Consider the following 21,588-nt stretch of genomic DNA (forward strand, 5'->3'; position numbering starts at 1 on the left):
CCACTTCCTGGCCAGCACTTGGTGTTATCAGGCCACCTGCCCTGGCTCAGCCTACTGGAGTCTCGCTCTGTTGCCCAGGCTAGAGTGCAGTGCGTGATCTCGGCTCACTGCAACCTCCACCTCCCAGGTTCAAGCCATTCTCCTGCCTCAGCCTCCCGAGTAACTGGGATTTCAGGTACCTGCCACCACGCCTGGCTAATTTTTGTATTTTCAATAGAGACGGAGTTTCACCATGTTGGTCAGGCTGGTCTCGAACTCCTGACCTCAAGCAGTCCACCTGCCTCGGCCTCTGAAAGTGCTGGGCTTAAACAGGCCTGAGCCACCATGCACGGCCGTTATCTGTCTTTTGATTCTAACTATCCTAGTGGGTGTGAAGTCTGTCTCATCATGGTTTTGATTTGCATTTCCCTGCTGGCTGATGATTTTGAGCGTCTTTCTGCCTATTGGTCATTTGTGTATTTTCTTTAGAGAAATGTCTACTCAAATCCTTCACTCATTTTTAAATTGGGATATTTGTCTTTTTATTGAGCTGTAAGGGTTCTTTATATTTTCTAAACATAAGTCCCTTACCAAATATGTAATGTGTAAATAATTTTTCTATTCTGTGGGTTGTCTTTTCAGTTTCTTAATGGTTATAACAGTTACAAAACTGTTTAGTTTTCATGAAGTTCCATTTATCTTTTTTTCTGTAGTTGCTTGTGTTTTTGATGTCACATCTAACAGCCATCGTCTGGCCCTTTTGAAGATAAAGGGACCTGGCTTTGGAAGTTGAGACTTCAGATCCTTTTCTGGAGTGAGCCGCTCCTTCATTTACATAGTCATTCATTCAGAAATATTTTTGAAACCAAACTTCTTGCCTGGTCCTGGGGATACAGCATTGACAAGGAAAACCCAGGCCCTGCCCGTCTGGATCTTAGAGTCAAATGTGGGATAGACAGGCATGAAGCAGATAACCCAAACACGTCATTTCTCTGTTTTAGTTAATTGCAGATGTGCAGGAGAGGGAGAAGGCCTAGGAGTCCATAACAAGGAGACCTGCGCTTGTATGGGAGCCGGGAAGGCCTCTCAGGGCTGGGCATGTAGGCTGAAATCCAGGGCTGGGTCAGCTTTAGCCAGTGCGGTGGGGATGGGGGAAGGGTGCCCTAGCTAGAGGGAACAGCAGATACCAAGGCCCAGAGGTGGGAAGGTGCTTGTGCTCCCTTCCAGGGGCAGCTCCTGCTGGGTCACTGGCCCCTCCGCTTTCTTGTGGGTCTGGTGGCCCCATGGAAATGTGTGCATGTCATGTATTTAGGGGTGAGGCTCCCGACCCCAGAGAGACCCAGATACACCGCAACTGCCTCCAAGCAGGGCTCTGCTGAGGTTTGTGGGGGACATGAGGGAACCTCCTCCAGCCTCCTCCAAACTCCAGGGTCATCCTGAGCCTGCGGAGGCCACACTAGCCACCATTCTTGCAGCCACACTGGCTACCGGCCCCCAGGGCTGGGAGCAGGTCAGAGCACGGCAGTCCCAGGTTGGGTGGCCCATGCCTCTCGCTCTTGTGTGCTGTGCCGAGGCCGGGGAAGCCATGGGATGGGGCCCCCTGGGGACCTGTCTGACTCCTCGGGCCCCACTGCGGCTTCCATCATCACCTTCCTTCCCGGGATGTGTTTCTCCTTCTCCAGGCTGGTAGCTATAAAAATGTGTCAGCGTCACGGGTTTTTGTTCAAAATTAATGAGGTGAAACATTCTTAAAAGTGTGGCAGGGCAGTGGCTGGTGGTGGCCGGCCTCCCCCAGCCTCTTCCTCACTCGGAGGACGTGTCCTCACCAGGCCTCCATGGCTCCAGGGGAGGAACCTAGACCCCTGCACAGGAGGGCGGGCTCTGCAGGCTCACCCGGCCCTTCCCATGCCTCCCCTTCACTCAACACTCAGCACTCAACACAGATTGATGAGAGGTTCCCTGTGCCAGCCCCTGTGATGCATTCCAAGGAGACAGAAAACAGTAAGTCCCAGCCCCTACTGGACCGATGACCCCACACTTACCCTACAGTATAACAGAGCTACAATGGGAGAGGCACAGGGCTTTTTGGGAGCTTAAGCCTGTGGGTCCAGGAGGGCTTCTTGGAGGAGGAGGCATCTCTGCTGAGACCTGAAAGTGAGCAAGAGAGGGAGGAGACGTTGCCAGCTCAGGCAGGGGTCCATGGTGAGAGGGCGTGGTGTGTGTGATGCAAGCAGTGACCCCAAAGAGGCAGGGACCTGGAACAGCGGCCGGGCAGCCCTGAGGCCACCTGCCCTGGCTCTGCCTACTGGAGTGGCCTAGGTGGCCCCATCCAGCAATGGTCCAGGGAGGTGAAGATGGACCTGTGCCTTGTAACTGGCACCAGAGGACCCAAGACCCTCCTTTGTGCCTTACACCTGGTCCCTGAATTTCTGGGGTTGAGGCCAGCTTGGCCTGATTGAAAGCTAGCTTGGCCGGGCGCGGTGGCTCACACCTGTAATCCCAGCACTTTGGGAGGCTGAGGCGGGTGGACCACAAGGTCAAGAGATCGAGACCATCCTGGCCAACATGGTGAAACCCCGTCTCTACTAAAAATACAAAAAATTAGCTGGGTGTGGTGGCAGGCACTTGTAGTCCCAACTACTCGGGAGGCTGAAGCAGGAGAATCGTTTGAACCTGGGAGGCGGAGATTGCAGTGAGCAGAGATCGCGCCAGTGCACTCCAGCCTGGTAACAGAGTGAGACTCCATCTCAAAAAACAAAACAAAACGAAAGTCAGCTCTTGGGCCCCTTGGTCGGGGTGCTGGCTGGGGCAGGGCTGCACTCCTGGGGTTGGAACAGCCTAGAAGCCCCGGGATCCTTCTCCATGAGGCCCCAGGGACCATGTTTCTTCTCCTCTATCCTCCCTTCTCCCCTTCCTTCTTTTCTGTCTTCACATGTTGTTGAGCTCTCTCTGTGCCCGGCCTGACTGTGGCCCACCCTCACAGGGCTTGGGGCTGGGCCTGCACACATCCTTAATCCTCGCTGCCCTGCTGCCTGTGTGCCTGAAGCCACATGCTGCAGCCCCAAGAATGTTTCTGTTGCCTTCAGCCTCCCTCCTTTTTGTTGATCCATACACTGTTAAGCCACCAGGGAGACCCCCAGAATCCCAGCACCACGAGGATCTTGGGGCTGGCTTCCCATGCCGAGGTGACTCAGGCAGCAGTGTGGGGAAGTGGCTAAGACCCCGGACTGTGTGCTGCTCTCTGAGTTCCAATCCCAGCTCTGGTCTTTCCTGGTCATGTGGCATCAGTATGTCATTTAACTCTCTGTTCCTCAGTTTCCTCCTACGTAAAATGGAACTAGGAGCCAGCCGTGTTGGGTTGTTATGAGGGTTAAATGAGGTAGATCCTGTTATTCCCATTTTTCAGGTGAGATTCTCTTTTTTTTTTTTTTTTTTTTTTTTGAGACAGAGTCTTGCTTCGTTGCCCAGGCTGGAGTGCAGTGACATGATCTCGGCTCACTGCAACCTCCACCTCCCGGGTTTAAGCAATTCTCATGCCCCAGCCTCCCAAGTAGCTGGGATTATAGGTGCACACCACCACACCCAGTTAATTTTTTTGTACTTTTAGTAGAGACCGGGGTTTCACCATGTTGGCCGGGCTGGTCTCAAACTCCTGACCTCAGGCATTCCACTCGCCTCGGCCTCCCAAAGTGCTGGGATTACAGGCATGAGCCACGGCGCCCGGCCTCAGGTGAGATTCTTGAGGCTGGGAGCGGTTAAAGGTTCACCCACGGCACTCTGCTAGTGAGGCGGACCGGCCTGAGAGCCAGACCCGGACCGGCCACCTCCTTAACCAGTAGGCGGTACTGCCTTCCATTCCTTACTGGGGGAGGTGAGAATCCTCCCTCAAGCCTCCCTCAGGGCCACTTGTGTCCTTGCTGATGATGCCAGGCAGTGGCTAAGGATGTGGTTTCAGAGTTCCTGTCTGAGCCCTTCTCCCAGGGGCCCTTCAAAGGAACCCAAATCTCTACCAAGAAATCTCAGGGGGAAACCGAAGCCTCCACGGCCTCTCCACCCTACCCCACCTCCACTTCTTGCCTAAGACGTTCCAGGCTGTAAATATTTCTCCAGCTCCGAGGCTCCTCTGAGAAGGCCCAGTGTTAATTTGTTAAATCCACATCGAGGTCCCAAGGACCCGTTGTTTGTTTTTGCGATCCTGTTGGCAGAGATCACGTTGGGGGTGGTGAGGAGGGCTGCTTATTTGCTCAGAATAAATGCTAATTAATAAAAGTTATTTATTTGGGTTGGAGCTCACCTCAGCCCGGGGGTCAGGCGCAAACTGACTATTTGAAGCAAAAACAAATAGAGTGTGTCTCTCAACAGCTTGAGAAAGGCAGGAACGAAGAGGCTGAGTTTATTTGTCTTAGGAAGAATCTGCAGTTAATTCCCTCCAGACTATTTAGACCCTTAAATTACACGGAATAAGAAAAACCATAGGCACAGGGGAGGGCGGTGGGAACACTTGATCATTTGGCTGAGAGCAGAGTTTTTAAATGCCTTTGGCCCCCAGTCAGCCAACTAAATGGTACGTGTGAAATAATTTAATGGCAGAAAACCGTGCACCAGTCATTTTTTCACTGTAATGTAATCGGGGACGATGTCGTTTTGGTTTTAAGGAGGAGACAGCGCGAGACAGGCCTCCCCCATCTGAGCTCGTTTCTCTCCTCTGGGATCCAGGCCCCCTACAAAAGCAGCTAAACAGCCTGGTCAAAGGGAGGCGGTTTCATGCTTTGTTTCAGTCTCAGGGAAAAGCAGAACTTTTCCTGAACAAAAAGAGACTCTGGGCACGGCCCTCCTTGGAGAGTGCAGACGCAGGGTTTGCTGACCGGAGGAGAGGGCCCCCGTGAAAAGGCAGGGACCTGACGCCAGTGGCCTGAGGCTTAGAGAGTATTTATTTTATTGATTTCCTAAATGCTTTAAGCCCAAGCACGGAGTCCCCAGAGGAACACACACGCCCACCACAATGCATTTCTCAGGAGGTGATTCAGGAACTTAGGGCAACAAATATCCGGCACATCCGCTCGGAGGCGGAGGCGAGCGCCAGAGCCCCCGGCTAAGTCCAGAGCTGTGGGTTCGAGTTCTGGTCCGCGGGGAGGTGCTGCCTGGGTCCTCCTCCCCGTCCGCGTTCCTTCCCAGCCTCAGCCCACGGCAGGGGTGCAGCCCCATCTTTCTGCTGTAGGCTGGGCTACAGGGACGAAAGGATCATGGAGAAAGGTCCTTGTCTTCTCATACAGAGCTGGCTGCACAAAAGCAATCATGTTAAGGGGAGTGAACATTTATTGAGCAATTACTATGTCCTTGGCACTGAGCTACACTCAACTCCTCACAGCAGCTTGGTGTGTCCTTCAGCAAGGTGCTATCCCACACCCTCCCAGGGGTGAGGGCTTCCTTTAGGACGAAGAGGTGACGTGAGGCTGGAGGCCTCCCACCATGGCATCTCCTGACCCCGCCCACCCATGGGATCAGAGAGCTGGGACTGAGCGTGTGACAGGCCCCCTACGCTGCTGAGCCTGGGAGCGAGGTAGAAGAGGGAGGAGGCCCCGTGAAGAGGGGTTCGCAGCCTTGGCTTGGCCAGGCCTCCCAGCAGACATCGATTTCTTCCTTTTTTTTCTTTCTTTTTTTTTTTTAGACGGAATTTCACTCTTGTTGCCCAGACTGGAGTGCAATGGCGTGATCTCAGCTCACTGCAACCTCCGCCTGCCGGGTTCAAGTGATTCTCCTGCCTCGGCCTCCTGAGTAGCTGGAATTACAGGTGCCCGCCACCATGCCTGGCTAATTTATTTATTTATTTATTTATTTTTAGTAGAGATGGGGTTTCACCATGTTGGCCAGGCTAGTCTTGATCTCCTGACCTCAGGTGTTCCGCCTGCCTCGACCTCCCAAAGTGCTGGGATTATAGGCATGAGCCACTGCACCTGGCCAACAGACATCGATTTCAATCCCAGATGTACGACGTTGGGCAAGACACTCTCACAGCTTCAGTTTCCGTGTGTGTAAAATGATTCCATTGGTAGCTCACGCCTGTAATCCCAGCATTTTGGGAGGCCAAGGCAGGTGGATCACCTGAGGTCAGGAGTTCGAGACCAGCCTGGCCAACATGGTGAAACCTCATCTCTACTAAAAATACAAAAAAAATTAGCCAGGCATGTGGCGGACGCCTGTAATCCCAGCTACTCGAGAGGCTGAGGTAGGAGAATCGCTTGAACCCAGGAGCCGGAGGTTGCAGTGAGCCGAGATCGTGCCACTGTACTCCAGCCTATAATCCCAGCTGCTCTGGAGGCTGAGGTAGCAGAATCGCTTGAACCCAGGAGGCAGAGGTTGCAGTGAGCCGAGATCGCACCACTGCACTCCAGCCTGGGGGACAGAGCGATACTCTGTCTCAAAAAAAAAAAAAAAAAGTAATAAAATAAAATAAAATGGCACAGTGCCTCCTAGGGTGGATGCAGGGGACGGTGGGTGGCCACACGTGGAGCACTTGGCACCACTCCTGTCCCAACCGGCTCTGGCTGAGCGCATCCCATCACAGCTGCCTTGGCACGACCCTGGGCAGAGCTGACTTGGGAAGCAGTGAGGACGCCAGCCAGTGTTGGGGGCGGTCTGGGGCTGGCTGGGGTGGGGGTAAATGCCTCTGCATGAGGATTTTGGCTCCATGTCGCCACACAGCTTAACTGGCATGAAAGTGGAGCTGTTTCTTCGGGCGCTTACTCGGCAAGGCGAAGGCTGCAAAATGGTTTTCATTTAAACACCCCCAGGTTTGAATTGCTCAGAAACTTCCCGAAAATGTCTCCTTTTTTGGCTGAAATGCCTCCTGTGTTGGGTGTGTGCCCAAGAGGAACTGCCTGAAGGGGGGTGGAAATGACCCCTGCAATGACTGGCTTTCCAGAAACTTCCATCCCTGCTTTCAGGCTATTGATCACCACCCAGTTTTCAGCGCAAGGGCTCTTGTTTCGGTTTAAAGTTTCTTCCTCATCGAGGTGGTGGGGGTGGAAAGACATTCACAGGCAGCAGACATTCTCATCCATCCTCGCCTTTGCTTGAGGAGTGAAGAGTGAAGCGGTCCCGGCAATGAGACCAGCTCCACAGGGCCACCACGTGCTCCCTCCCCACTGCCCCCACAGCCCCCGCCTGGTCCCGTATGTTTGCAAGTATTTCCCAAAGGGGGAAACTTCTGAACATAACCTCCTAGTCATCCCTCTAAACCAGGGTTTCTCAACCTCAGTGCCATTGACATTTTGGACAAGATAATTCATTGACGTGGGGGCCTGTCCTGTGTCTTGAAAGATATTTAGCAAGGCCAAGCATGGTGGCTCGTGCCTGTAATCCCAGTACTTTGGGAGGCTGAGGCAGGAGAATTGAGGTCAGGAGTTTAAGACCAGTCTTGGCAACATAGTAAGACCTCATCTCTACATTAAAATAAAAATCAGCTGGGCATGGTGGCAGGCACCTGTAGTCCCAGCTACTTGGGAGGCTGAGGTGGGGGAATTGCTTGAGCCCAGGAGGTCGAGGCTGCAGTGTGTTACGATTGCGCCACTGCACTCCAGCTTGGGCAACAGAGTGAGACCCTGTCTCAAAAAATAAAAAAGATATTTAGCAGCACTCCTGGCCTCTTTACCATTAGATCCTAGTAGCACCCCTTCCCCAGTCCTAACGATCAAAAATGTCTCACAGGGGCAAAATTGCCCTCGGTTGAGAAGCAGTGGTCCAAACCCAGCTTCAGGGACATCTTTCTCACACACACACACACACACACACACACACACACACACACACACTCATTTACAGTCTCATGGAGCAATTTAACCTTACATCAAATCAGTTGGTTGCTCAAGAGTCAGTAAACCCTCCTAACCTGGGAACTGATTAAAAGCAGATATTCAGCAGTACCCATCACTGGGCCTGGCATGTTCTAGAAGCTCAGTAACAGTTCACTGAACAAATGCCCAGTACTGTGCAAAGAACATCGGGTGTAAAATGGGAACATGTAACTGGGGAAACAAAAATACAAGGTATGGACTAAAATCCAAAGCTCTTCTGTTGGCCAAACTGTAGGCAAAACACGTCGCCCCAAACCCGGCCGGTGGGAATGCAAAATAAGACCAGTTATACGAGGGAATTTGGCCACATCTAGCATTCACTCATTGGCCCAGAAATTCCACTTCTAGGAATCTGTCCTAAATATACACTGGCAAAAATAGAAAATCATATTTGCATGAGGTTATGCATTGTGGCATTCTTCTAGTTCCAAGAGATTGGAAACCCTCCAAATGCCCATCAATAGGGCTCTGGTTGAATAAACACAGCAGAGTCACATGGTAGACTGCTATGCAGCTGTGAAAAGGAACATGAAGGGCTCCGGTGTGCTGAATGGGGGAATCCCTGGGAAATATCGTTAGGTGGGGCAAAAAGTGAACAGTACATACTATGCTTTCTTTCTTTTTTTTTTTTTTTTTGAGACAAGAGTCTCACTCTGTCGCCCAGGCTGGAGTGCAGTGGTACGGTACCGGCTCATAGCAACCTCCACCCCACAGGTTCAAGTGATTCTCCTGCCTCAGCCTCCAGAGTAGCTGGGATTACAGGCATGCACCACCACACTTGGCTAATTTTTGTATTTTTAGTAGAGACTGGGTTTTGCCATGTTGCCCAGGCTGGTCTTGAACTCCTGACCTCAGGTGATCCACCTGCCTCGGCCTCCCAAAGTGCTGGGATTACAGGCATGAGCCACCGTGCCTGGCCGCTATGCTTTCTTTTGATAGAAGAAAGGGAGAAAATATTACACATATTTTGTTATATTTGCAAAAAGCAATGCTGGAGGGATAAAGGAAGAACTAACTCTTAAAATGGTTCCTGAAGGTAGGGGAGAGGGAACAAGAGGGAAAATACATTTTGGAAAAACAATCGCAATAAAGATGGTTAGGTTTGTTTCACTAAGATGGAAAGGTATCCAGAATATTATTAAATAAAAAGAGGTAAGTTGAAGCCCCAGTGTGTGCTTGTCAATTTTTAATTTTATTTTTAAATTTTATTTATTTATTTATTTATTTTTGAGACAGAGTATTGCTCTGTCACCCAGGCTGGAGTGCAGTGGCATAATCTTGGCTCACTGCAACCTCAGCCTCCTGGGTTTAAGCGATTCTTGTGCCTCAGCCTCTGGAGTAACTGGGATTCCAGACACTTGTGACCATGCCTGGCTAATTTCTTTTGTCTTTGTCTTTGTTTTGTTTTGTTTTTAGTAGAGATGGGGTTTCACCATATTGCCCAGGCTGGTGTCAAAATCCTGGCCTCAAGTAATCCACCTGCCTCAGCGTCCCGAAGTGATGGGATTACAGGTGTGAGCCACCGCGCCTGGCCATTTTTTAAACTTGTATTTGTAATCTTAGAAAATGTGGGCAGTGGGGCTGGGCATGGTGGCTCACACCTGTAATCCCAGCACTTTGGGAGGCGAGGCGGGCAGATTGCTCGAGGCCAAGAGTTCGAGACCAGCCTGGCCAACATGGTGAAACTCTGTTTCTACTAAAAATACAAAAATTAGCAAGGCATGTTGGTGGGCGCCTGTAATCCCAGCTACTCGAGAGGCTGAGGCATGAGAATCACTTGAACCCGGGAGGCAGAGGTTGCAGTGAGCCAAGATCATGCCACTGTACTCCAGCCTGGAGGACAGAACAAGACTCCGCCTCAAAAAAAAAAAAAAAAAAAGAAAAAGAAAAAAGAAAGAAAATGTGGGGAGTGGGATAGGGGAGGGGAGAGTATTTTGTTTTACTTTATACCCATCTGTGTTGTTTGAATCTGTTACTGTGACAAGCAGTGTGATTACTTGGTTATTAAAATACACATTTTTAATGAGAAAAAATCAGATACAAAAGAAGTGCTGAACCGGCAGCATTAGTTGATTCTAAGTGCTGGAGGGAAGGGGGTTTGGTTCCATGTGGACTCAGGTGATCAGGGAGGGCCCCCTGGAGGAGTGGACAATAGGCTGAGCCCTAGAGGATGAAGGGTCAGAGGTGCCCTTGGATAAGGTTTAAATGTGGAAATAGTAGCTGGACGCCCCCCCACCCCCTCCCCCAAGGTACAGGCTGGGCCCAGAGGTTGCCACTCCAGGACCTCCCCAGGGTTCTGCTGGGCCCTCCTTACCAGAGCTGCTAGTTCTGTACCACAGGCCAGCACCACCCTCGGTCAGGTCCCCTGCTGGGATCCTCCACCGCCCCTGCTGGGCCTTGGCTGGACACCCTCCCTCACTCTCTAACTGATTGGAGAACTCTTGGGGATCCTTCAAACCCTTTGCAAGCTCCACCTCTCCTGAGGGGCCTCCCCGGCCAGCTCCTCATCCCCACCAGAGCTGAGCATCCTCCCGTGCCCTGGCCCACACCTGCCCTGACCCACCCCACGGCCCCACCAAAGCTTATTCGGGGCCTGCCTCCCCTGCCGATGGATCCCTCTGGTTGGTCTCTCCCCGGCCCCCAGTACAGCCTCTGGCCTAGTAGGCCCTCTGGAAAGGAAGGCTGCTCTCAACAGCTGCCTGATTGGCTAAAAAGGAGAAGATGAGGACTCTCGTACCCGATTGGTGGGTTCAGATCCTTCCACCAACAATGACTCCACTGGGACCTTGAACTTGGGCCCGAGACCATAGCCTCTCTGACTCTTCCTCCTTAGGAATGATGAGGATCACGACATCTGTCTTTAGGGCTCCTGGGAGCTTCCTAGAATCTGTGGGTCCTGAGCCTTGACTCCCACTGCTCTTTATGACATATTAATTATTATTATTATTACATGTCAGCAACAGGTGTCCATGCAGAATGTGCCATGCCCCACAGCCTGGGCCGGGTGCTGGGGACACTCAGGTGTCTCCTGAGCCCTCCTTGAGCAGGTCACTTGTCCCTGGTGGAAGGGACACCTGTCCCCAGGGCTCTTGCCGTGGTCCCATCTCAGTTGGCTCAGACTGGGGTTTCCACAGGGCAGGGGTGTGGCTGCTTTTGTTCTCCGTTATCTCCCCGGAGTCTAGCACTGGGCCTGCCACACAGGTGCTCAGTAAATACGTGTTGAAGAGTGAATGGATGGGTGGATGCCAGAAGGAAGGAATGAGGGAGTGAATTAAAGGGACGCATTCCTGGCGGCGGCACTAAAGCACTCAGAGCAAACTGCAGAGTTGGGGGCTGAACTGTGACTGTAGCCACTGGCCGTCCTGCTGACCATCCCGCCCCCCCAACCTCCGCAGGTGAGTGTCCCAGCCCGGGGCGCGGTAGCGCCGCCAAGCGGAAGAAGAAGCAGCGGCGGAACCGCACCACGTTCAACAGCAGCCAACTGCAGGCGCTGGAGCGCGTGTTCGAGCGCACGCACTACCCCGACGCCTTTGTGCGCGAGGAGCTTGCCCGGCGCGTCAACCTCAGCGAGGCGCGCGTTCAGGTGAGCGCTCAGTCCCGGGCCTCCCGTGGGAGCGTGCGCGTGGGAGCGCACAGCCACTGTTCACCCGGGATTACACAGTTGCCCAGGAGGGGTGTTTGAGCAGGAGCATCTGAGGCCAGGAGGACGGGGGTTCAGATCCCAGCCCTGCCACTTACTGGCTGTGTGCCCTTGAGCAAGTGACTTAAGCTGTCTGTGCTGCAGGCACCTGCCTACCTGGAAAATGAGGATCACGTAGGTCTTTGCTATAGGGGTCCTTCGAGGATTAGAGTTAAAATTTTCATAAAGCGGCCAGGCACAGTGGCTTATGCCTATAATCCCAGCACTTTGAGAGGCCGAGGTGGGTGGATCACTTGAGGCTAGGAATTTGAGACCAGCCTGGCCAACATAATGAAACCCCATCTTTACTAAAAGTACAAAAATTATCCGGGCGTGCTGGCGCGCGCCTGTAATCCCAGCTGCTTGGGTGGCTGAGGCAGGAGAATCGCTTGAACTCGGGAGGTAGAGGTTGCAGTAAGCTGAGATTGCGCCACTGCACTCCAGCCTGGGTGACAGAGTGAGACCCTGTCTCAATAAATAAACAAACAAACAAACAAATAAAAATAAATTTTCGTAAAGCGCTTAGAACAATGCCTGGCACCAAGGGTTCTGATAAAGAAGTCCTTTTCCAGTTTCAAGTTCTTAACTCTGTGCCAGCACTGAGCCGAGTGCTCAGCAAGCGCCTCTCCCCGCGAGTCCTCAGCAAGCGCCTCTCCCCGCGAGTCCTCAGCAAGCGCCTCTCCCCGCGAGTGCTCAGCAAGCCCCTCTCCCCGCGAGTGCTCAGCAAGAGCCTCTCCCCCCGAGTGCTCAGCAAGCGCCTCTCCCCCCGAGTGCTCAGCAAGCGCCTTTCCCCGCGAGTGCTCAGCAAGCACCTCGCTCCCAGTGGCCGAGTGCCTCTCCATTCGTTCTCATTCTCCAACACATTCTCCATTCATTCTCCATTCATTGGTGTTCTCAATCTCCAACACATACCCAGCAGCAGGCGTCATTTGTCATCCCCATTCTACAGATGAAAAAACTGAGGGTCAGAGAGGTGACGCTGCCAGCCCTGGGCTGGTGACAGAGCAGGCACACACCCAGGTCCAGAAGGACTTGGGTCCCCCCTGCCCATGCTGCACCCTGCTCACCCTCCCACCCACAGGTCTGGTTTCAGAACCGCCGCGCCAAGTTCCGCAGGAATGAAAGGGCCATGCTGGCCAGCCGCTCTGCCTCGCTGCTCAAGTCCTACAGCCAGGAGGCCGCCATCGAGCAGCCCGTGGCTCCCCGGCCCACCGCCCTGAGTCCAGATTATCTCTCCTGGACAGCCTCGTCCCCCTACAGGTGAGAGCGGGAACACCTTTGGGCCAGGAAGGGGCAGCTCGAGGAATCCCAGAGGGCTTTTCCGGCCTGGACTCCTCTGAGGGTCTGGAGAGAGCTTGAATGGTGTCCACGCGCCCCTGGGATCTGGGGTACACCAAGTGATGTGTGGCGAGTGTGCCTGTGAGTGGGTGTTCACGAGCACCTGCACGTGCATGTTGTAAGAGTTGGCATGTGTGTGTGTGTCAACGTACATGTGGGCACACATGACTGTGAGTGTGCATGCACATGCCTGCGTATGCAAAGGAGCGTGCAAGCATGCGTGTCCACAGGGGTGTGAGTGTGTGCGTGAACACCTGGAGCCGGGAGAAAACAGGCCTATCTGGAGGGGGAGCAAAGTACAGGCATCACCCTGAGGGAGTAGAAAACCTGCAGGAAGATTCCTAGGCTGTCACGGGGGCCCCAGCGCCCTGTGTCCACCCTCCAGACGAGAAACTGACGCTGGGAGGGCTGAGGAAATGGTCTCCCTGGCCTGCGGGCATGGCTGGGGCCCAGAGCCAAGTTCTGGGGCAGTTTTGTCTGGATCAAAGCTGGAAAGACTCTGACATGGTCGGCAGGAGGTGCTCGAGAGTCGGGCCACCATACCCCACAGCTCCAGAGGCGCCGTCTGCTCCTTGGGCTGTGAGGGTGGCTCTGCTGGAGCCATGGTCATGTGGGGGGACAGGGATTTCGTGGGTCCGCTTGAGGGTTCTTAGTCCTCACCGCCCTCCTAACTTCCCTCCCTATTCATCGTTACAGGGGGCAGGAAAACCAAGGGGCATCCTTATTTATTTATGTATTTATTTTTGAGACAGAGTCTCGCTCTGTCACCCAGGCTGGAGTGCAGTGGTGCAATCTCGGCTCACTGCAACCTCCGCCTCCCAGGCTCAAGCAATTCTCCTGCCTCAGCCTCTTGGGTAGCTGGGATTACAAACGCCCGTCACCACGCCAAGCTAATTGTTTGTATTTTTAGTAGAGACAGGGTTTCAACATGTTGGCCAGGCTGGTCTCGAACTCCTGATCTCAGGTGATCCGTCCACTTCGGCCTCCCAAAGTGTTGGGATTACAGGCGTGAGCCACCACGCTTGGCCCCAAGGGGCATCCTTAAATCCAGGTGCCTGTTCATTCTGCCTCCATCCTGCTGAGAGCCAGGCCCAGGGTACGCATGGAGGGGGGCATGGACCAACCCAGGCCCTGCTGTCAGGAAGCTCATGGCTCATATGGAGGCTCCTGTGTCCCAGCACTGAGCTGGGGGGACTTCTGACTCCTGCCCAAACCCTACAGCTCCAAATCACCCCCAGTCCTGGGTGAAGGCTGCCCAGGAGAGCAAGCTAAGGAGGGGGGTGGCAGGACCAGAGGCTGGGGTCGAGCACTGATACCCAGAAGCCAACCGCACCCATGTGACCTGTGTCTCATGTCGCCCCCAGCACAGTGCCACCCTACAGCCCTGGGAGCTCAGGCCCCGCAACCCCAGGGGTCAACATGGCCAACAGCATCGCCAGCCTCCGTCTCAAGGCCAAGGAGTTCAGCCTGCACCACAGCCAGGTGCCTACGGTGAACTGAAGTCCAGTCCCACCAGGACCCAGACGCCTCCCTGGGTGGACAGCAATAGAAAAGGGGGCAGACGCCCAGGAAGTGACCTTCTCCTGGATGAGCTCTCCTGGCCCGTCTGTCCAGCCTGGACTCCCGAGCCCACGAGGCTGTTGAGGCCCCTGCAGCCGGGCCCAGCTCTTCTGTCCTTGGCCACCAGAGACTGCAGCCCACAACCCTTGGAGGGGTTGGGCCGGAAGGTGGAAGAGCCTGCCAAGGACCTCATTTAGTTTGTGTATTAAAACCAAAAAGCTTTTGTCTTTAAGAAATAAAACCATTTTTTTAAGCCCCAAAAGGTTGCAGGAAGGTGGGTAAGGGCCGCAAACAATGTTGGTGGCTGAGATGAGAGCTGGGACCCCACAGGGCTGGATGGCCTTCCTGGGCCCTTTTCTGGCCTGCAGCAGGCATGGAGACCGCCTCGGCCTGGCTCAGACCAGCAGCCATGGGAGGCCCACTGCCCTCATATCTGTACTGTTCCCGGGAATGAAGTCCTCTGTCACCCTGCAGGGCCCCCAGAAATGGGGGCTGGGGGGGTGGGAGAGGAGGACAGAAACCCACCCTAGACCCCATCTCCCATCTTGAGTCCCAAGGGGACACCCAGATGTTTGGGCAGAGCCTTGCTGTGTGAACCTGGGCAGGGATCGTCTCCCCATCCTATTGCGGGGCAGGATGGGTGATCATGGATTCCTAGACTGGCCAGAGGGTGTGTGGGACAGATGGAAGGACATTCAGTCCCTTGCTTCTGGGCACACAGAAGGCGTGGGATCTCTCCGGCCATTTAACCATGAAGGGGCTGAGGAAATGGCCCAGAAAACAGGTGCAGACTGTAGGTCCCGGCCAGGCTCCCAGGACAGCTGAGGCCAGCAGAAGACTCAAGTCCCTCAACCCACCCATTTGCAGCCAGTAACTGAGGGTGCCACCAGCCAGTGACACCACTTACGAGGGATCTGCAGAAAACAGGGGTGAGGGATGGTCTGAGGCCAGTCCCTCTACCTGTCCCCACGCCCACCAGGGAAGTCAGGAGAGCCTTTCTGCTCAAAGTCACCCCAGTCCAGCCCCCGGGAGGTAGGACAACACTCCCCCATCCCAGAGGGCACAAAGACGGTCAGCCCTGGGCAATGGTGGTGGGAACCCTGGCCCTTGGGGTGGCGGGGTGGCAGATGGCACAGCAAGGAATCTCGATGGAGTCAATGAGCTGGGCCAGTTCTCCAGTATCCCGCCCTGCCCATGCAGGGTCACCATGCCCCTAAAGTGCCAGCCATGGGGCTCCACACATGAGTAGTCTGCACGGGGACAACCTACTTTCTTTTTCTTTCTTTCTTTCTTTCTTTCTTTCTTTCTTTATCTATCTATTCTATTTTTTTGAGACGGAGTGTTGCTCTGTCGCACAGGCTAGAGTGCAGCAGCACGATCTCAGCTCACTGCAACCTCCGCCTCCAGGGGTTCAAGCAATTCTCCTGCCTCAGCCTCCCAAGTAGCTGGGATTACAGGCGTCCGCTGCTACGCCCAGCTAATTTTTTGTATTTTTAGTAGAGATGGGGTTTCGCCATGTTGGCCAGGCTGGTCTTGAACTCCTGACCTCAGGTGATCCACCCACCTCAGCCTCCAAAAGTACTAGGATTACAGGCGTGAGCCACTGTGCCTGGCCCCCACTTTAGTTAGAAGGTACAGCAGCTACACTTGTGAATAAAGTGAGGACCATCTCCCACCTGCCCCCAATACACCCCTGAATACTCTTCCCCATACTCCATCCGGATTTCCACCACAGAACGTGGCCCCTTCAGATGTGCAAACACACCTGGGGAAGAGTGACCGCCCGGTCGCTGTGTGACTTCTTCCTTCGGTGGCTGGACGGCTTCCTCCCTGGCCGCAGCAGGGCCTCTGACCAGCAGGAGAGCCTGGGGCACCAGTGGGGGCTGGGGTGGAGGGGAGGGGGAGTTCTGCTGAGGTCTACAGCTGCTCAGCCCCACCTGACTGTGAGGGCCAGGCCTGTGCCCTGGACTGGGGGAGGAGGGGGAGTCAGATTTGTGTTTTCTGGCTCAGTTTGGCCTCTGCCTCGGGTAAGTGCTTTCTGGACCTCCATTTGCCATTCTTGCACTGAGAAAATATTATGAAACGCAAGGTTCCTGGCCGCAGAGGCTGCGCCATGCTATGAGGAGGCAAAGACAAAGGAATAATTACAGCACCACTAAGGCTATGAGGGGGTGCTGCAGGGGCCCAGGGAGCACAGACGGGGCCCCAAACCTTGTTGAAGGCATCTGGGCAGGCTTCCTGGAGGAGGTATGCCTGAGAGGATGAAGAGTTCACCAAAGAGGGGGGAGGGGCAACGGTGTTTCTGGCTGAGGGGACTGCATGAGTGTAGCCCTGGGGCAGGCCAGAAGCTTCTCTTTGGGCCAGTGGGAGCTGTTCCCGGGCTGGATCTCCTGGTGCCGGGTGAAGGTGGAGAGGAACAGGAACTGGCTCAAACGAGGTTTGTGTGGCCGGGACTAGATGTTTGGATGTCACCCTGTCTGTGGGGAGCCATGGAGGGGATTTGCTTGGTGGAGGGACGTGCCCTGAGCCTCCATGAGGAAGAGGGACCGTGGGCTAAGAGTGAAGGAGACAGCCCCTTGCGGAGGCCAGGGCGGGTGTCCAGGTGGGAGGGGCTGTGGCCTGGGCCAGATGGGGACAGAGTTGGTGGAGCTGGGAGATGTTTCGGATGCAGCAAAAAAAAAAAAAAAAAAAAAAAAACAGGAATTGGTGACTTGGTGATGGGCTGGGGAGACTGGGAGCCTTCAAAGCCAGTTTGCAGACTGGGCACGTTGGCTCACGCCTGTAATCCCAGCACTTTGGGAGGCCGAGGCGGGCAGATCACTTGAGATCAGGAGTTCGAGATCAGCCTTGCCAACACGGTGAAACCCCGTCTCTACTAAAAATACAAAAATTAGCCAGGCGTGGTGGGGCACACCTGTAATCCCAGCTACTCGGGAGGCTGAGGCAGGAGAATCACTTGAACCCAGGAGGTGGAGGTTGCAGTGAGCCGAGATCAGGCCACTGTACTCCAGCCTGATAGAGTGAGATTCTGCCAAAAAAAAAAAGCTGGTTTGGGGTTAGACACACAGGAGTGACCAGGAAGAAGAGATCCTGGCCATGGGACTTGCCTGGTGGAAGCCTCTGGAAGATGCAGGCCTGTCCTCCCACCCAGACAAGAGCTGGGGTCCAACCTGGCTTGAGTGTCCTCCTAGGCACAAAGCTTGCTCCCTTTCCCCATCTGGGGGATCTGTGCCCGCATTTGGTCCAGAGCATGGGGGCCCAGAGCAGAGCACTCACGGGCAGCCGGGAAGAGCAGGCTGTTTTCCCCCAGGAAGCACTAACCTGGGAGCTCGTGAGTGGACAGACCCCCCAACCCAGGCCCCTGGCCAGTGCTCCAGGCCTGGTGCAGGCATCTCAGGCCTTTCTACTTTTCAACCCAAAGGGAGGGCACCCTGAAGAATCGCCAGGCTGAGGCTGCCTGTGCAGTGATGAGGTCACACCAGGTGGGGGCCTGGGAGGCCAGTCCCAGGAAGGCCAGCTTCAGAAAAAAACGGGGACCTTCCCACGGAGGTGCTGGCCTTGCCGTTGGACCATGAGGATGTTAATGTCACTTCCTCCGAACGCTCTAGAGAAAACAAACCAGCTTAATCGTTTACACATGCTGCTCCGGGAAGCTGAGGGAGGGGTCGAGGCAGCCCTCCCTATAAAAGAGAAAATATTCAAACACTGCTGTCGCTATTGTAGCCCTAATTGCAGGGCTGTGTGGGCAGCTTCCTGGGCACCCATCCCAGGGTATCATTTTTCCATGAGGACAAGGTACCTAAGGCCCTGCCCTGGGCTGAAGAACTTGCTGCCTTTGCCCATTTGGCCAAGTGAGCTTGAGTTTGGGAGAGGGCATTGCGTGTCTCTGCTTTTATTTTTTTTTATGTGAAATAAAAGAACTTGAGAGAGAAAGGGAGGGGGAAGGAGAGAGAGAGATTGAAGGAAAGACAGTCAGCTCTTGCAAAAACCCAAACCAGAGAAATAAAGACTAGAGTTTCTGGTCCTGTGACCCTGGACAAGGCACTTCTCGGGGACTTGGTTTCCTTGTCTGTAAAATGGGGATAATTACAGAACCCACTGCATAGGGTTGTTGGCACAAAGTTCCCGCCCATAAATGGGTGCCTCAGTGTTTACGGTGGAGGAGCACAGGGTGAGGGATGGAGTTTGAGAAAATATACGTACTCCCCTTCCTGGGGTGAAATGGCACTTTCTCTGTCCAGAGACCCGGCATACCCGGTCCAGAGGCTCTTCCCCCGTTCCTTTGATGTCCACTAGCCTTAGGAGCCCCAGCTGGGGACCCAAATCAACTTGGTACCTCCGGCTCCTGCACCTCTGCTTCTCGCCCCTGGGGGGCGCCGTGGGGCCGCTGCAGGGCCCTGGACTGGGTTCCCGCGATGTGGCCGCACACACCCCATCCTCTCCGCTCTCCTGGGAGATCTCCAGGGCTGGCAACGGGCTCCTGACCCAGCCTCCTCTGGAAAGACAAAGAAACAAGCAAATCCCAAACCACCAGCAGGGGTTACAGCGTTTACAGAAGCCTTAGGAAACAGGAACCAACAGCCGTGAAGATATTCACATGCTTTCCCCCAGCAAACCCGTCTCTAAGCTCTACTTTGAAAAATAATCAAAATCTCAAAATCGGGGGGCGGGGGAAGCAATGTGCACATCAGTGTTTATCACATATTTTATACGTGCAATGTAAAAAATCTGGAAAGACACAAGCCAAAATGTGAGTAGCTTAATTTTTTTTTTTTTTTTTTTTTTGAGACTGAGTCTCACTCTGTCACCCAGGCTGGAGTATGGCACAACCTCGGCTCACTGCAACCTCCACCTCCCTGGTTCAATTGGTTCTACTGCCACAGGCTCTCGAGTAGCTGGGACTACAGGCCTGCGCCACTATACCCAACTAACTTTTTGTATTTTTAGTAGAGACAGGGTTTCACCATGTTGGCCAGGCTCGTCTCAAACTCCTGACCTCAGGCAATCCACCTGCCCGGGCCTCCCAAAGTGCTGGGATTATAGGGCTGAGCCGCTCTGCCAGGCCAATTAGCTTAAATTTTATGGTGACTCACAATCCACGAGTCTCCATATTTTTAAAATAACTTTATAGAAAAAACAATCTTTAAAAAGAAAGCAGGCCAATGTAACAGCCTCGAGTACATAATAAGGTCTTCAAAGGTTAAAAAAAAATGTGCTTTTGGCTGGGACTGGTGGCTCACACCTGTAATCCCAACACTTTGGGAGGCCGAGGCGGGCGGATAACGAGGTCAGGATTTTGAGACCAGCCTGGCCAGCATGGTGAAACCTCGTCTCTACTAAAAATACAAAAATTAGCCAGGCGTGGTGGCGCACACCTGTAGTCCCAGCTACTCAGGAGGCTGAGGCAGGAGAATTGCTTGAATCCGGGAGGCGGAGGTTGCAGTGAACTGAGATCATGCCACTGTACTCCAGCCTGGGTGACAGAGTGAGACTCCGTCTCAAAAAAAAAAAAAGTGCTTTCTTCCCTGTGTTTTGTGTCCCCCTGGTGCCTCACACAGAGCTAGATGTGTCCTCTGGATACTTGCTGGTCAGTGGAGGTACTGGAAACAGTGTGTTTGAGAACATCTGTCTCCCAGGCTGGAGTGCAGTGGTGAGATCCTTGCTCACTATAACCTCAAACTCTTGGACTCAAGTGATTCTCCCGCTCTGGCCTCTCCAACTGCTGGGATTACAGGTGTGAGCCACTGCGTAATGGCTCTCCAAGAACTTCTTAATTCTTAGTTCACACCTTAGAAAAAGTGGGAATGGATTGAGCTTGGGATATAAGGCAGTCAGGAATGAGCACCTTGAAATCAGAAGGGGGACTCAAAAGAGAGACGGTGTGGCAGATACAATTCTAACATGGCCCTGCCAGCCGGGCGCAGTGGCTCACACCTGTAATCCCAGCACTTTGGGAGGCCGAGGCAGGCAGATCACCTGAGGTCAGGAGTTTGAGACCAGCCTGGCCAACATGGCATCTCTACTAAAAATACAAAAAATTAGCCGGGCACAGTGGCGCACACCTGTAATCTCAGCACTTTGGGAGGCCAAGGCAGGCAGATCACCTGAGGTCAGGAGTTTGAGATCAGCCTGGCCAACATGGCATCTCTACTAAAAATACAAAAAATTAGCCAGGCGTGGTGGCACACACCTGTAATCCCAGCTACTCGATAGGCTGAGGCAGAAGAATCGCTTGAACCCGGGAGGTGGAGGTTGCAGTGAGCCAAGATCACACCACTGAACTCCAGCCTGCACTGCAGAGCAAGACTCCGTCTCAAAAAAAAAAAAAAAAAAAAAAGATGGCCCTGTGATTCCCACCCCAGGTAGTCCCACCTTTGTGTAATCCCTTCTCCTTGAGCGGAAACTGTGGCTTGTTTCTGACAAATAGAGTGCGGCAAAGGTGAAAGGATTTTTCAGATGTAATTAAGGTCTCCACTCAGTTGACGCTGATGTAAGCAAAAGGAAGATTCTCCCTGGTGGGCCTGACCTAATCAGGCGAGCCTTTTGAAAGATCCAGGTTGTCCCTGAAAGAAGAGATTCCAAGCAGACAGCCACTTTCCTGCTGAGCTGGAAGACGCAAACAGCTATGCTGTGAAGTGCCTGCGGAGGGGGAGGCCGCCAGGAGCTGAGGGCTTCAGTTTCAGAACCACAAGGAGCCCAATTCTGCCTACAATTCAAACAAGCTTAGAAGAAGACACTGAGCTTCAAGTGAGACTCAGCCTGGATGACACCTCGATTGCAGCCCTGGGAGGTCCTGAGCACAGCACCAAGCTGAGCCTCGCCCAGACTCCTGACCTACAGGAACTGTATGATCGTAAGCGTGTATAGTTTTAAACTGGCAACTTGTTACACAGCCATAAAAAACTAACACAGGTGGGAATGAAGCTTGAAAGTTTACCTTGGCTGGTGCGGTAGCTCACACCTGTAATCCCAGCACTTTGGGAGGCCGAGACGGGAGTATCACCTGAGGGTCAGGAGTTGGAGACCAGCCTGGCCAATAAGGTGAAACCCCGTCTCTACTAAAAATACAAAAATTGGCCAGGCGTGGTGGTGCACACCTGTAATCCCAGCTTCTCCAGAGGCTGAGACAGGAGAATTGCTTGAACCCGGGGGGGCAGAGGTTATAGTGAGCCGAGATTG

At 53.7% G+C, this 21,588-nt stretch overlaps 1 protein-coding gene and 2 long non-coding RNA genes across 4 annotated transcripts in view, besides 3 other annotated features; 1 reads left to right on the forward strand and 2 right to left on the reverse strand.

Moving 5' to 3' along the window:
• The window catches only part of PRRX2 (paired related homeobox 2), a 57,028-nt gene extending 42,357 nt beyond the window's left edge, over positions 1-14,671 (forward strand). For both annotated transcript variants that reach the window (NM_016307.4, XM_017014803.1), the window contains exons 2-4: positions 11,228-11,415; positions 12,593-12,771; positions 14,214-14,671. In NM_016307.4, the coding sequence (NP_057391.1) occupies positions 11,228-11,415; positions 12,593-12,771; positions 14,214-14,349 (503 nt within the window). In that variant the 3' untranslated portion in view covers positions 14,350-14,671. The remainder of the gene's footprint in view (positions 1-11,227; positions 11,416-12,592; positions 12,772-14,213) is intronic.
• Positions 4,419-5,234: an enhancer, noted in NCBI's record as "H3K27ac-H3K4me1 hESC enhancer chr9:132474701-132475516 (GRCh37/hg19 assembly coordinates)". NCBI's record gives its function as "activates a minimal SCP1, AML or CMV promoter by ChIP-STARR-seq in naive H9 embryonic stem cells {active_cell/tissue: H9 hESC(naive)}" and the evidence as "EXISTENCE:reporter gene assay evidence [ECO:0000049][PMID:30033119]".
• PRRX2-AS1 (PRRX2 antisense RNA 1) lies at positions 4,891-10,703 on the reverse strand. The gene is made up of 2 exons (NR_132102.1): positions 10,570-10,703; positions 4,891-5,258 (listed from the first exon to the last, which is right to left on the reverse strand). It is a non-coding gene; the product is annotated as a PRRX2 antisense RNA 1 (long non-coding RNA).
• Positions 16,709-17,208: an enhancer, noted in NCBI's record as "H3K4me1 hESC enhancer chr9:132486991-132487490 (GRCh37/hg19 assembly coordinates)". NCBI's record gives its function as "activates a minimal SCP1, AML or CMV promoter by ChIP-STARR-seq in primed H9 embryonic stem cells {active_cell/tissue: H9 hESC(primed)}" and the evidence as "EXISTENCE:reporter gene assay evidence [ECO:0000049][PMID:30033119]".
• Positions 18,286-18,864, reverse strand: LOC124902284 (uncharacterized). Its single transcript, XR_007061815.1, has 2 exons — positions 18,746-18,864; positions 18,286-18,329 (listed from the first exon to the last, which is right to left on the reverse strand). It is a non-coding gene; the product is annotated as an uncharacterized LOC124902284 (long non-coding RNA).
• Positions 18,748-18,941: a silencer, noted in NCBI's record as "fragment chr9:132489030-132489223 (GRCh37/hg19 assembly coordinates)". NCBI's record gives its function as "represses an EF-1alpha promoter that drives an FKBP-Casp9 reporter gene in an ReSE screen in both phorbol 12-myristate 13-acetate-treated (for megakaryocytic differentiation) and untreated K562 erythroleukemia cells {active_cell/tissue: K562 | K562(+PMA)}" and the evidence as "EXISTENCE:reporter gene assay evidence [ECO:0000049][PMID:32094911]".

This window comes from Homo sapiens, chromosome 9 (genome assembly GCF_000001405.40).
Source record: "Homo sapiens chromosome 9, GRCh38.p14 Primary Assembly".
NCBI classification, from domain to species: Eukaryota; Metazoa; Chordata; class Mammalia; order Primates; family Hominidae; genus Homo; species Homo sapiens.